General features: G+C 35.0%; 2 long non-coding RNA genes across 11 annotated transcripts in view; one reads left to right on the forward strand and one right to left on the reverse strand.

The window, feature by feature from the left end:
• Positions 1–14475, forward strand: part of LINC00871 (long intergenic non-protein coding RNA 871) — a 437745-nt gene that overhangs the window by 418731 nt on the left and 4539 nt on the right. The window contains exon 2 of one of the 4 annotated variants that reach the window (NR_102699.1): positions 7303–7398. The exons of the other annotated variants lie outside the window; for them this stretch is intronic. This is a non-coding gene — a long non-coding RNA (long intergenic non-protein coding RNA 871). The remainder of the gene's footprint in view (positions 1–7302; positions 7399–14475) is intronic. 4 annotated transcript variants of the gene reach the window in all.
• LOC124903309 (uncharacterized) overlaps positions 4132–14475 on the reverse strand; it is a 98633-nt gene continuing 88289 nt past the window's right edge. For 6 of the 7 annotated variants that reach the window (XR_007064146.1, XR_007064143.1, XR_007064142.1 and 3 more), the window contains 4 exons: positions 8839–9032; positions 8499–8580; positions 6308–6418; positions 4132–5327 (listed from right to left, as the gene is read on the reverse strand). This is a non-coding gene — a long non-coding RNA (uncharacterized LOC124903309). The remainder of the gene's footprint in view (positions 5328–6307; positions 6419–8498; positions 8581–8838; positions 9033–14475) is intronic. The other variant, XR_007064144.1, reaches the window with a different exon arrangement.

A 14475-nucleotide genomic window follows, 5' to 3' on the forward strand; every position in this document is an offset into this window, starting at 1 on the left:
TAAAATCACTCTAACAATGTTATTTCTTATAGTCGTAGAAACTACAAATAAAGTATCATATGTAAAGTAACTGGTACAGTACTTGGTATAGCATAATTATTTAATGATTGGTTGATAAATACATTATTTAATATTAGCCTCATTGTATTCATTCATCTACTTATCGATACACAATTTACATATATACAAAGCATATATAATGTAAATATATACATATATGTACATGTGTAGATGCACATATGTAGATTATTTTAATTTGAACCTGTGAAAGGGCACTGAATAATTCTGTTGCATATATATTTTGTGTCGAATTTCTTTGTAGGAAAATATTTAGGTTCTAAATATCAAGGGCTGCAATCATTCGCTCTGTGCTCTCTCTGTCCCAAGTGCCTGGCACATAGTAACATGCTCTATTGATATTTATGGATTGAATTTGAAAATGAATGCAGTGTTCTGAAGAGGCACATTTCCTTTAGGTATCTTAATATGCTTCATATACACTTAATACCATGGTGTCCTACTGGCTTTCCTCCATCTTTCCTATGACCTTATCAATGTATGTCCCATATATTACAGCCACACCCATCATATTTTTGCAGATAGGGCTTTTCTTTCTGAAGTTTTGTCATCTGTTTGTTCATAAGGTCTTCATTTTCTGTAAATTTTTGTCACCTAAAAGCTGCCACAGTCCTTCTCATTATTTATATTGCATTAGCTTCCTTTTGTATAATTATTTAACTTTTGGGATAATTATCTCTAATTTCTTAATAGACTTTGAAATTGAGAGCAAATACTGTGGCCCATATTCCTTTATTACAATTTATATTATTATTTATTACATTTATTTTCTCCAGTAAGAGCTCAATAAATATTTACTGTCTTGGGAAGTTTCCCAAAACAGAAAATTATTTCTCAATAATATACAATGGTGTGGGGAAATTGTCACTCTCATATACTGCTTGTGGGCAGTAAATTTAGTTTAGTTAAATAAATATCATTAGATAGGCCTCTGTGAAAACCTCTGCCCCTTTTCATCTCAGCCACTGTGAGAAGTTTCTCCATTTGTTCTTATGGCAAAGAATGCATAATCCTAGCACTTGACTGTGTCTCTCAATACTCTGAAATTTCTTTGAGAATGAGGACAGAGAAATGTTCTTGTTGTTCAGCGCAATCCCTATATAGCATTCACTGAATTAATGTCTGTTAAGTGAATTCTAAAGTTACAGAAATTTTCTGCTTAATTTTTTTATTATCTGCTATTACATTAACAAGAAATATTCTAAGATCATATGATGTTGGAGTGACGAAAATAGTTATTTTCTAACACACGAACTTTTTGTTAACCTCATTATTCCTTATTTTATGCAGTAAAAATCATCTGAATGTACATAATTTTTTCTTTGTTTTGGGGGATAAATTCTACTTTAAATTCAACTTTCTATGTCTTACTACAACTAGTAAATGTAAGATAATGAAATTTTTCTCCTGACTAGAAGAAATAATTTTATGCCAATCTAAATACAGCACCCATCCGGAGGGGGCAAACTGATTTCCTCACATATACCAACACTGCCTGCCAGCAAAAAGTTTAGTTCCAATCTGTCAACATGTTTATCTAAAAAACAGTATCTGTATAATTATTTGTGCATTTTGCTGCATTTTCTTAATAAAAATGATTAACAGCAGTGACAAGAAGTATATCTCATAAACTGAATGCAAATTAAACAAAAATAAAAACACTGTTTCTCAAAATGGCTAGCCCTAGTTAGAAGATGCTTGGGATTTAATTCCTCCATCTGTGAAGGAAAAGAAACGAATTGTTAAATGCATGTGAAGTATTATACTAAAGAACTATTATCAATAATTGTGTCTAAAGTTAAGTTTAATTAAGGAGGTTGAAACATTTTAAGCTCTTTTAAAACAAAACCATGTTCATAGCTTCCAATTCAGTTGTTCAAATGTTAACTATTCTTTCAAGAAAAATTTCAAGGACCCATTAATATTGAAACCGACTATACAAATCCAGATTATTATCTTAGTCTAGCCTCGAGTTAAAAGTAAACTCTGGGCAACCCCTTAGCATACAACTAAATAATATTCAGAGTATTATTCAGAATGAATAAATGTGGAGTAGACAACTAAGTAAATGTTTGACTATGTAAATAATGAGAAAATAAAAAAATAAATAAAAGTCTGGCTTTTCCCACAATTGGGAGCAATTTGATTATACCTATTCAAAAGGGGTAAGATGTGGGGTCAGTACATAACCTACCTTATAAAACCATCCTAAATTTTCCTAGAAAACATGAAGAGCTTGTTCTTATTTTGATAGATACAAACTTATATGTGCCCCCATTTTAGCATATATTAGCTTGAATTATAACTGGTTTCAAGTCTTTCTTTATTCCTTTTTTTCCTTCTAAGACTATGGATATTTTGTGAGAGGAGCCAACTCTGCATTTCTTTTTCTTTTCTTCATTATAACTTTTGGATTAGGTTCAGAGGTGTATGTGCAGGTTTGTCATATAGGTAAACTGCGTGTCCTAGGGGTTTGATGTACAGATTATTCCATCATTCAGATAGTAAGAATGGTATCCAGTAGGTATTTTTCTAACCCTCTCCCTCTTACCCACCTCCACCCTCAAGTAGGCCTTGTTGTCTATTGTTCTGATCTTTGTGTCCATGTTTTCTTGTTTGGCTTCCACTTATAAGTAAGAACATGAGATATTTGATTTTCTGTTTCTGCATTTGTTTCCTTGAGATAATGGCCTCCAGTTCCATCCATGTTACAGCAAAGAACATGATCTCATTCTTTTTTTCTGGTGGTGTAGTAGTCTATGGTATATATATATATATATATATATATATATATATATATAAACACTTTTTTTTAAATCTAGTCTACCATTGATGGGTATTTAGGTTGATTCCATGTCTTTGCTGTTGTGAATAGTACTACAACGGACATATGCATGCATGTGCCTTTATGGCAGAGCAATATATATTCTTTTGGGTATTCTTTTGGGTATATATCCTGTAATGTGATTGCTGGGTCAAATGATATTTCCGTTTCAGGTTCTTTGAGAAATAATTGTCACACTCCTTTTCAGGGCAGCTGGACTAATTTACAGTCCCACCAGCAATGTATAAGGGTTCCCTTTTCTCTGCAACCTTGCCAGCATCTGCTATTTTTTGACTTTTTAGTAGCAGTCATTCTAACTGTTATGAGATGGTATCTCATTGTGGTTTTGATTTGCAATTCTCTAATGATTAGTGATGTCCAGCATTTTTCATAACTTTGCCTTTATTTATGTATCCTTATCACCTAAAAGATACCACACATTTACCAGGTGTTCAGAAAAATGTGTATTGAAAGAGAGAGATAAAAGAAAAAAGTTAAAGCAAATAAAGAAAGATCCAAGAAGCTTATTAATGGTAGTATTTTCACATATTTGCTGTGAAGTATGAGACAAAGGTTAGGGAATAAAAACAGCTCTTACTACACAGCAAAAGTATGCATAGATGTTGATACTTTTTCCTTCGCCTCTGTTGGTATAATTGCAGAACTTTTAAGTAGTTCAATAGGGAATTCAGGATTACTGTATATTTTGTTGGGAGAAAAAAAATGTGAGATAGTTAATTTGTAGCTTTGGATAAATTATGTATTCTAATCTTGGTGCTGATTATTGCAAAATAATCATTGTGCTATAGTGTGCTAAAATATTAGTTGAAAACTAATTGTTGTGAACTTTTTATCTGCACCCGGTGAGATTCCTATGAATGACTAAAAGGCTAAGCAGGGCAAAATTGTTTAGTTAGTTAGCAAATTAATCTATAATGCATAAAATGCAAGCTTCTGCAAAGCTCAACCTTTTGGCTAAAGATTTTAGGTCACCACATTCCATATTTTGATCTCCATGACATTCAGATAACTGGTTGAAATGTTAAAAATTCAGTCAATGCTGAAGTTGTTTGTTTATACCTACCTCATGCCAAACATCTAGTTTGACATTTGGTACTGAATTGTCAGAATTGATCATTTGTCTTGACATCAGGTGGTTACACTGATACACGTCTGATACACACATGCATGTGCACACACGCACAAACATGTACACAAACAGCGATGGCTTTTCTGCTTTATAATAAGTTTTATTCATTGTAGGAAATAACAAAATCCAGGTAATTGTGAATGTAACTGGTTTCTGGCATGAGTTCACCTTCTTAGGTTTCAGGCAGAAAGTAATTTTATAGTTTTCTGTTAATTTCAGTTTCTGAAACAAAATGCTAGGGTAATCCCATGCTTTTAAGATAATTTTTAGTAAGTACAAATTCTTTTGGTCACTATTAGTTGCCAAAACATGTTCCTTTCAGTAGTAAATCCCCATCTACTGCATAAATGAAAATTCCAGATTCACATCTTTCTTGGAATGTTCTCATCCCCCATGTGCCAGCCTGCCTCTGAGTGGACAGTGGATCTTGAGGCAAAGGCAGAACTGGCTTCTGTATTGCTCCGACTTCTCTCCTAGCCTACAACTGCTTCTGACACCTACATGGTTAGGCTAGAACAGCAAGTGAAAAGAACAAGCTTTTCATTATCTGAATCAATTGCAATCTGGGATCTGGTTTGTGTGTGTGTCAAATGGACAATTTCTAGCTCTTTCTTTCATGGGAAAGGGACTGCTGAGATGTCTTTGATGTGGGTCTGCCTCCCCTGAGGGTGGTTGCTCAGCCCTCTCCTCAGCCCTTCTGGCAGAACTACTTCCGTTGTGCTCTCTTTAGTCCCAGTGGTCATTGTTGTTAGTGTCTCTTATAAAGTGATTACAGACAGCCTCTCTGTTGCCGGGTCCACATTTGGACCCTGGAAAACATTCGCCATTGCCTACTCATCAGCGGAAGTGCAACATTCGTCTAGGTCAGCACTTCACAGTTGTTCCTTCCCAGACATGAGAAGTGCCAGCCACGTAACCTTTCCTCCTGACTTCTAAAGGGTGAGTCAAATGGCAGTCCCTATGTTCTGCAAATTCTAAGATCATTGATCAAACTCTGAGTGATCTTGTTGAAGCTCCCTTCACCTGAGGCAAAAGGAAGCCACCTCCATGTGCGGAGCACATGAAGTCTCTCAAAATATTTCCTTTTCCCAGCCTCCTAAACACCAATCTCTTTCATGAGCCATATCTTGATGACAGACCAGTTCTAGCCGAACTCGATTTGGACTACACGTTTTGCAAATCCTGGAGAAGAGGTGCAGCAACTCCTCATGATGCAATGTTTGTAGAATTGATTGGTTGTTCATTTTAGACTCTAGAGTCTCTTTGAAAAAAATGCTGAACAAAGAAGAAAATTCACATTTAGTATCCAATTGCATAAAGAAAACCACAAAAATTACTATCCAAATACAAATGTTACTTATTTTTCATTCTTTTTCTCTCCTTTAATACAAACACAATTGAATTAATATTTTAGGTAGGGTTATATATATCATTTGTTGTTACTCATTGTTGCTTATGAGGTCATGAGCATTTCTCCACGTTGCTAAATATTCATCCAAAGTGGAAATATTTAAATAATCGAATAGTATTATTGGGTTTTGTATATGGGGATCAGATAACTTCTTTCTAGTTCGTAATTGCTGGGCTGCGTGGAGCCATGCCTTGACCTGTTAAAGAGGATATGTCTACAATCCGAAATTCCTGAGCATTGACTGAGCTGGGCCAGTGACTACTACTGGTTCTCTGCATTGGCTCACTTGGGAAGGAAATGAGTGGTTTTTAAGTATAGCTGGGAGAATGAAATGGAAATGTAAGCTATTTCTCTTTTCTTCTAATCTGGAACAAAATTACATTTTTGAGCCTCTTTAACAGGTAGATACAGCTGTGGGAGTAAGGCGTGGGTAACAGAATGTAGGCAATCTGTCCCATAAAAACCTCCTCGATGATCTCTACTGTCTTGTTTTCTCCATTCATGTTTGTTAGAGTTCCAAGCTTAAAGCCGTATTAGATGACTTTGTGTTGAGCGTAGTAGAACTTTTTTTTTTTTTTTTTTTTTTACCTTTTTATAGCAGGCTCCTGTTACAGAGCAAATAGGCTTATAGCCCAATGCTCACAGAAATTAATACCTATGGTTCTGGCTTTCAAGAAAAGCTGTATTGCAAAAACAGCCAGTTGAAAGGCTAATGTTGAGCTTAAATATATGTACCCAATTTGAAGTGTGGGGCACATTTTAAGAGATCAGAGGTCAAGAGAAAGGATTTAGGAATGTTGGCTTGGCAGGGTCTGATTAGAGGGCTTCAAATTTGACCACTTACAGTAAGGTATGTTGAGGCAGATCTTACCGCAGATCTTCTGGGCCAACAGACTCCTCACTTCTGAAAAAGTTCTACCATTCAGGCTCCAGTCATGTATCAATCTTCTTGGCTCTGAGGGGAAGAATCATTTATTCCAGGTGTTGTTAGAAGTAAAAGCTTTTGCTATTGCGCATGCCCAGGCTGCATAACACAGTTTTTAGCTCTGTCTTATTGAATGATAATTTTTTTTTTGTATTTGAAAATAACCCAACCCTAAATCAACAGAGATCTCCAAATGAAGAAAGCAATACTTTTGCATCAATTTACCTTTGCACTGCTTCTCAGTAAACTTCGTTTCCTGGAATTCTTATAAATAAGCAGGAATATATTGTGATATATTGGCACTGTGAATTACCAATCATTATAGTTAAGAGCATATTCTAACAATAAAATGTAAAAATAATTGGCCAGGTAAAATAAATGTAGGGTTATTTTTAAACTAAATTAAAAAAATAAGACATTTGTTTAAGAGATTTATCTATGTTAAAAAACCAAGGGTGGCATAAAATATAATTTTGGAATAATAACTTTAAAATTTGAATGTGATAAAATTAAAATTTGAATGTGATAAAAATAGGCATGTTAGCAATATTTGAACTTCAGCCAATCTCTGATGATTTTGTAAGTAAAATTTTTAAAAATTAAGAAATTTACTTAAAAATAATTTATTTTGTTTTATGTGGAAACTACAAGAATTTTTATTTGAATCCAAATTTAGCCTAGTAGATTGTCATTCAGCTAATTATAGGAATACATTTGTGAGTTATGGGAGAGTTCTTGGATTAAAATAGAGATTCTGTACTACTAACATACTGACTGAACAATTATAACTCTTGGTTGGGGGTCAGAGATTTAACAAGAAGTGAACTTAACTTTATCAACAGTTTAAAGCTAAGTTAAATATTAACAATTTATATTTTTCAAAATTCTTATTGTCTTGCTGATAAAAATTACAGAACTATCAGAATGAATTTTCCACATCAGCCACAAGAATGACCTTCCGGCATACAAGACACTTCTTCCCATGTAATGCAAGGGAAAAAAAAGTTCAGGTAAGGGAGTTCTCCCTAGAAACCACGTAATCTCTGTCACTTCCACTTTCTGTTTGGAAGGAGTTCTTATATATAAATTACCTGGTATTTCACAATGTGATATTGCCACATCTCATTGGTATGGGCAGCCAAACCTGCTCTGACAGGTGAACAAAGATTCTATACTACCTAGTGACTGAATGAACTAAATTGTGTCTGTTGAGGGTCAAGGATTGAATGTTGACATAGAGATCTAACCAGAAGTGAACTAACACAGACTTAAGAAACCAAGAGAGGGTAAAAATGGAAGCTGTGAAACCACAGAAACCATGGGTAAGCAAAAGCCACAAGGGGGAGCAATAGGGGAGAGAGAGTAGGTGATCACTGAAATTGTCAGTAGACATAAAAGCAGAAACAGAATAATTGAATCACTGCAAAGGAAACTATAGAGCTCTAGGCATTGAACACCTGCTGGTGAGGTGAGAACATGATTACTAGGTAGCTAGAACTGAATACAACCTGGAAAGAATTATATAACTTCATTACACATGAAGTCATGCAGCCATTGAGACTCTAAAGTTCTCTCTTACTTCTCTGGTGGTGCGGAGGTGGCTTTAAAACAATGCCTCATTAGCTGCAATTATGTACACACATCTCTTTTACTCAGAACCCATCTGACAATTCTAACACAAATGGCTAGAATGCTTTTGAGTAGTCGTTTATTTCATGATAAATTATTGTAATTATACTCATTCATTCTTGATTATAACAAGTCAGAACATTTATGTTTCAATTGTTTTATTATTATTCTGTCTTGTGAAAATTTTTATATTTCTTTCATAGATGAGATAACAGAGATAGAGAGGTTGAATACCTTGCCCAAATATCTCTGGCAAGTAAATGGAGAAGAAGGGTAAATGCATGAATATAAGTGCATATGATTTTTGCAAAAAATGAGAACATACTCCTCAATTTGTTCCATAAATTGCTATTTTACCAATTATGTTATATAGTTATTCTTCCATGTAAGTATACATGTTTCTTCCTCAGACTTGTTAACTGTTGAATAGTATTTCATAGCATTGAAACACTGGAATTTGTTTAACCATTTCTCTACTTACGGCTTATTTATTTCCAGCTTTTTATTCCTGGAGATGTAGCAGGATATCAAGTGATGGCTTATTTATTTGCAGTTTTTCATTCCTGGAAATGTAGCATGATATCAAGTGAGACTTTTCTCATGCCTAGATACAAATTCACAATCTATGGAAAACTATACTATAGAAATCTGGGACTAGTCTTTCTCTTAAAATGATTTAGAGGTGGCCCAATCCTTCCTTAGAATGAGTACTAAATAGGAGGAGAAAGAAAGAACATTGTAATTGTGAGTTGTCAGCCTGCCAAAGAATACTGAAACTTTTCCTTCATAAATTGGGAGTATGCTCATATGATTTTGCTTACCCTTGGTTTCTGTGATTTCACACCTTCCATTTCGCCCCCTCTCTTGGTGTCTTTGAATCAGCATTAGTTCACTTGCTGTTAGATCTCTATGACAACATTCAATCCAAGTTGAGTGAGAAAAGTCCAACATTTAATCCACGTTGAGGGAGAAAAAAGTCCAAAAATCCAGAAGGATTCTCTGAATTTGAAGATGCCTGAGGAAGGGAAAATGAGCATCCCATTCACAGCTGTACATCTGCAAACATTCAGGTCCTCAAGCCCACTCCTTGCCAGCACCAGCCTTCTTTATAAACCACGATGTAAAAAGAGTTTGCCCTGACAAACATACTTGTCAACGGTGGTTGATTTAAAAATGCCAATGGACCATCCAGGATAAGAAAGAAAGTAACCAGTAAAGAGGGATAAGTAAATGCCAATAAGATACAAATATTTTATCAATATTTTGTATTTTTCAGTACTCTACCCTGCTCCATTACCAGAAAAGAAGAATGTAAAGGGGACTTAAAGAGTAGATAATGCCCCTCCACCATCTGAGTACCTCAAGCCATACTTTAACCTGTTCTGAGAAAGGGTAGGACATAGTCTTATAATTGGATTTGAGATACTGGCATTCAGTGCGATAATATAACCCCTCATTCAGATCATCTTTCCCACTGAGAGCAACTACAAACTCCAGACAAAACAAAACAAAAACAACTAGCTAAGTATTCAGTGATTCAGTGGAGTCAAACTTAGATAAATGACAAAAAAGTAGTCAATTTCCCATTTTCTTGCAGTTTTTCCCTGCAGGCTGACCACAGACACAGAGCAGCTCATCACAGGCAGCTAATTTTGCTAAAAACCTCACTTACTTTCTGGACATAGAAAAAAGGAAAAGGATCCTGGACAACCATGGCCAGCTGTCAGAAAGTGAGGGGAATTCTCACAGGAGAGAAAAAATGGAGGATGAGATCCCATGATTCTGCATATGCACACAATCTCAAATTGATCCATAAACCACATCATTGGGGACGAACTCAAATCAATCACTTCAGCAAAGGCTTAAATAATAGGATGGAGATTCGAACAAGCATCCACAGAAGATGAGACTGAGCTAACAGAATGACTTGAAAAGATGAATTATTAGCTAAAACAAAAGCATCAACTTAGAGGAATATAAAAGATCCTGGATTGAATACAACATACTATCCACAGTGCCATAGTCCAAAATTATCAACGTTAAAACAAAATGAAAGTATATGTCATGACAAAGATTTGGAAACGTGTTTATAGGCCTTTCATTTACAATAACAAAAAAATTGGAGATAACCCAAACATCTATCAATGTAAGAACATAAAATCAAAGTATGTTCAATAGAATACTGAAAAAGTCTGCCTGTGCCAAGTGTTGGTAAAGATGTAGAGCAACTGGAACTCTCATATATTGCTGGTGGGAATGTAAAAGAGCCCAGCTACTTTGAAAAACAGCTTGGCAATTTTATAAAAATTTAAACATATGCTTATTACATGTTTATATGAAACCCAGGCATATTTATCCAAGAGAGATGAAATCATATGTCTCTATCAATTTTTGTAGATAAATGTTTACAGCTACATTATTTGTAAAAGCTCAAAACTGGAAATAGCCCAAACATCTATCCACAAATAAATGTATCAAAATGTTTTCCATAGAATGAAATACTACTTGGCAATAAAAAATGAATTATCAACACATGTAACAACATGGATGAATCACAAAATAATTACGCTAAATGAAATAAGTCGGATACAGAAAGCACACATAATATATGATTGCATTTACAAGAATTTCTAGAAAATGCAATCTGACCTATGTAGATCAGTAATTGGCTGGGGACAGGAGTGATGGGAAGATCAGGTTGATTGCAAAGAAGAACATGGAAAATTCGGGGGAGTGAAAGAAGTGTGTACTGTCTTGATTGCAGTTATTTCACAAGTGTATCGCATATTCCAAAACTTACCCAATTATGTACTTGACATATATAGTTTATTGTACATAAAATATAGTTCAATCGAGTAATATAAAAATGTAGATTTGAGATAAAATTTAAACTGTAATTAACTGGAAAGTTCTGGACATGTCCTGGTTGTAATGAAAGGGACTGCTACTCAGCTGGCAAAAGAAATTGAGTGCAGTGTGATTAGAAGTAGTAAAGAAAAATACTACTGTTTGATGGTTGTAGCCCAGAAATTTCAAACTGCTAGATGCCCTAGATATCCAGATACTTCACTCATGACCTTTACTCATGTTACATCTTGATAAATACTGCCAAATAGCCCTTCCAAACAGTTAAACTAATTTTAAAGTCTGACAAGAAATGCTTGTGACTGCTCACTTCCCCCTCTGCATCATCATTAATACTAAATAGTTACAATCTCTTTATGGAGCGAGATGATCAATGAAAAACTTAAAATAAAATGCAAAGTAGGAGCCAAAAGGAATAGAGAAATCCAAAACTTGAAAGGTCATAAGAGAGGGAGAAAAAGTGAGGGAGAGAAGCTTTCCAAAGAGTCAATGTAAATAATGTCAAATGCTGTAGAGAGGTCAAAGTTTCTATTTTATTTAAGAACACGTAAGCTGTCAATGGTTTGGATGAAAGCAATTTCAGCTATTGGTGGTGAGAACAGAAAGTTGATTATCATTGTTGAGGGGTAAATGAGGTGAATGAGAGGAAACATAGTCAGTTTTACTGTTTTTTGTTTCTGGAGGATTTTTTTTTAAAGAATTTTACTGTGAAGGGAGAAGATAGTCACTACAGTATAAATGTTATTTTTTTTAATTTAAATTTTTGGAAGCGGTTTTACTTTGCAAATGACAGATACTTGAGTATGTTAAAACATTCATGAGAAACTTAATGGCAAGGTCATTTTTGTGACAGGAAATAAGAGAAATTTGATGTAATGAGATTCCAAGTGAATGAGATTCAATATGATTTTATGTATAATTTTAGGATAAAGGCGTTGCCATTTTAGTATTTGAGAGGAAGGCAAACATTTATGTAAATGCAATAAATTCGGTAGATCTGGAATTCTGATGCTCCTTACAAATGGATCTTTTCTCTGAGAATTATCAGGCTATTGTAGGTGCTGCATATTGTGAGGTTGAAAAAAAAGATTCTTCAGAATGGGAGAAAGAAACAATTTGACTTGGCAAGTATGAAAATTCAGCTCAGCACTGCTAGGGGTTTCAATAATCAGAGAGGATATCCCCAGTCCAGGTATCTGGAAATAACCACAGGGTTTATCTAATTCCTTCTAAAGCTACAGTAGGATTTATTATCTTTTAATCTGCACTAAGGAATGAAAACATTTAAATGTAATGACATGGCAAATTTATGGCATCTATGCTCATAAGTAAGTACAAATAAAATAATATACTTTATTTCCTATGATGGAACTAAACTTTTCCTTCAAATATTCCATTTTAATTACTAGGACAAATAAGAGAAAAATATTTATTTTAAATTTGCCAATTACTGGTATCAGAGTCTTGAGTATAAATAATCTAATTTAAATGGCTCTTTATTTTAGATAATTCTTAGTCATGTTCTTTTTTACATCCTTGCCCTTCAGCTTTCCTTCACTTTTTCATTCCTTTCCAAAAGTTTGTCTGAGTATGTAGGTGATTTTTACGGCAGTAACAGATGTTGTTCAATCATCAAATTGATAATACCCGGGGTGTGAACAGACTCAGTTGCCCTTTTGAATCACTGTACTGGCACACAACACTGTAGTCTTGGTCCTTTTTTTCAGTTAAAAAGTATCTACATATCACTGAAACCCAGATGCTATCATTTCATCTTCTTTGCAGCACTGACAAGGCACACATGAATTTTTGGACACAATCTAGACAACTCACTACTCATGGGAGTCTCTCTTGGGTTAATCTAACTGGGATGTTCCTTCTGCTAATGTAGTGCTATCCTCCTCCCTCAGTAATGAGTAGGACACTCATGTGGATGCAGCCTCCTCTTAGCATCCTGCTGTCTCCCTCAGGCAAGGCCAGAGGAAGCAGGCCACTAGCCCGCTGTTCTTGGAATCCTCCATGCCCATTTTGATATTTTCTAGTTATGATTGGCACCAGGGCAGGGCAATAGGTAGAGGTAGATGAGGATGTCTACAACAGGTAGAGATACATGAGGCTGTCAAATTAATTAATTAATTTAAGATCCAAAATACTGCTCCCCTTATTTTTATTTTCTATAAATTTAATCTAATACTAAATTTTACATAATAAAACATAAAGACTACATGAGGTATTAGAAAAATGAACTTCCAATTCTTTGTCAGTAAGTAGCAGGTGACATTATTTAGTCCAGTAAAGATATTTAGAAACTAGTATCTTTCGCGGTTCTCTGTAGATTCCTCTTCTTCCACTTTTGTTATTCTTATCCTTTGTCTCACAGGTTTTGACCCAGTGCTCACATTTGCCAACATATCTTTATCCCCAGCCTGTGCTTTTAATCAGAACCTTAGTACTGTCTAGTTAAGTAGACTGTCCCATCCAGCATAATATTCAAAATACAATCTGCTTTCACTGATAGTGCAAGAACAGCTGTAAAACCTTTCAGCTCCTCTCTCTTGATCTTTCTCAATAATTTGTGAACTTCATTTTCATAATCAAATACATCTTTTTCAAATACAAATATTCTGTTTTTTTTATGGTGACTTTAAATGATCCTAGGCTGGAGATAGTTTTTGTTTGGATTCAAACTCACAGTAAATTCTCCCATTAGTTAAATATTGAAGGAATTGATGGTGCTGTACATTATCTCTCAATCATGATTTCAGCCAAGTAAGGCATGTTACCATCTAACCATTTCACTCTGCCATGGATGTTTGTCCCATATTTGCCTACTCAGCATCCACCCCTGCTTTCTATATCTGTGAGTCATAGTTTAGGACAAGACTCCAAGTACGTCCACTGAGAGGAGCCACTTATGCCCTATTCCCACCATATGACACCTAGGGCATAAGCATGGGAGCTGGGATGCTGAATCTGGCCTGAGTGGAGGAAAGAATAATGGAGCAAATATGCACTCACAGTGGCTGGCCTAAGCAGTGTGGTATCCACCAATGGTGCTCAATGCTAGCAGCTGTGGATTACTGCCAAATCATGGTTTTTAGTTTTCAATTTTCTGTATTTAAATCTTAAATCTAAAAAAAATTAAGTTCTCTTACACAAAATTCTTTCCATATATTCATATTTGCTCCTCATTCTTTTTTCTTTTTTAGATATTTAGATTGTTTTTATTGCTTCTTTTTTTAATTGTACTTTAAGTTCTGGGGTGCATGTGCAGAACGTGGAGTTTTGTTACATAGGTATATACGTGCTATGGTGGTTTGTTGCACCCATCAACCCATAACCTACATTAGGTATTTCTCCTAATGTTATCCCTCCCCTAGCCCCCCACTCCCTGACAGGCCCTGGTGTGTGATGTTCCCCTCCCAATGTCCATGTGTTCTCACTGATCAACTTCTACTTATGAGTGAGAAACATGTGGTCTTTGGTTTTCTGTTCTTGTGAAAGTTTGCTTAAAAATATGGTTTATAGCTTCATCCATGTCCCTGCAAAAGTCATGAACTCATTCTTTTTTATGGCTACATAGTATTCTATTG

Source organism: Homo sapiens, chromosome 14 (genome assembly GCF_000001405.40).
Source record: "Homo sapiens chromosome 14, GRCh38.p14 Primary Assembly".
Taxonomy (NCBI): Eukaryota; Metazoa; Chordata; class Mammalia; order Primates; family Hominidae; genus Homo; species Homo sapiens.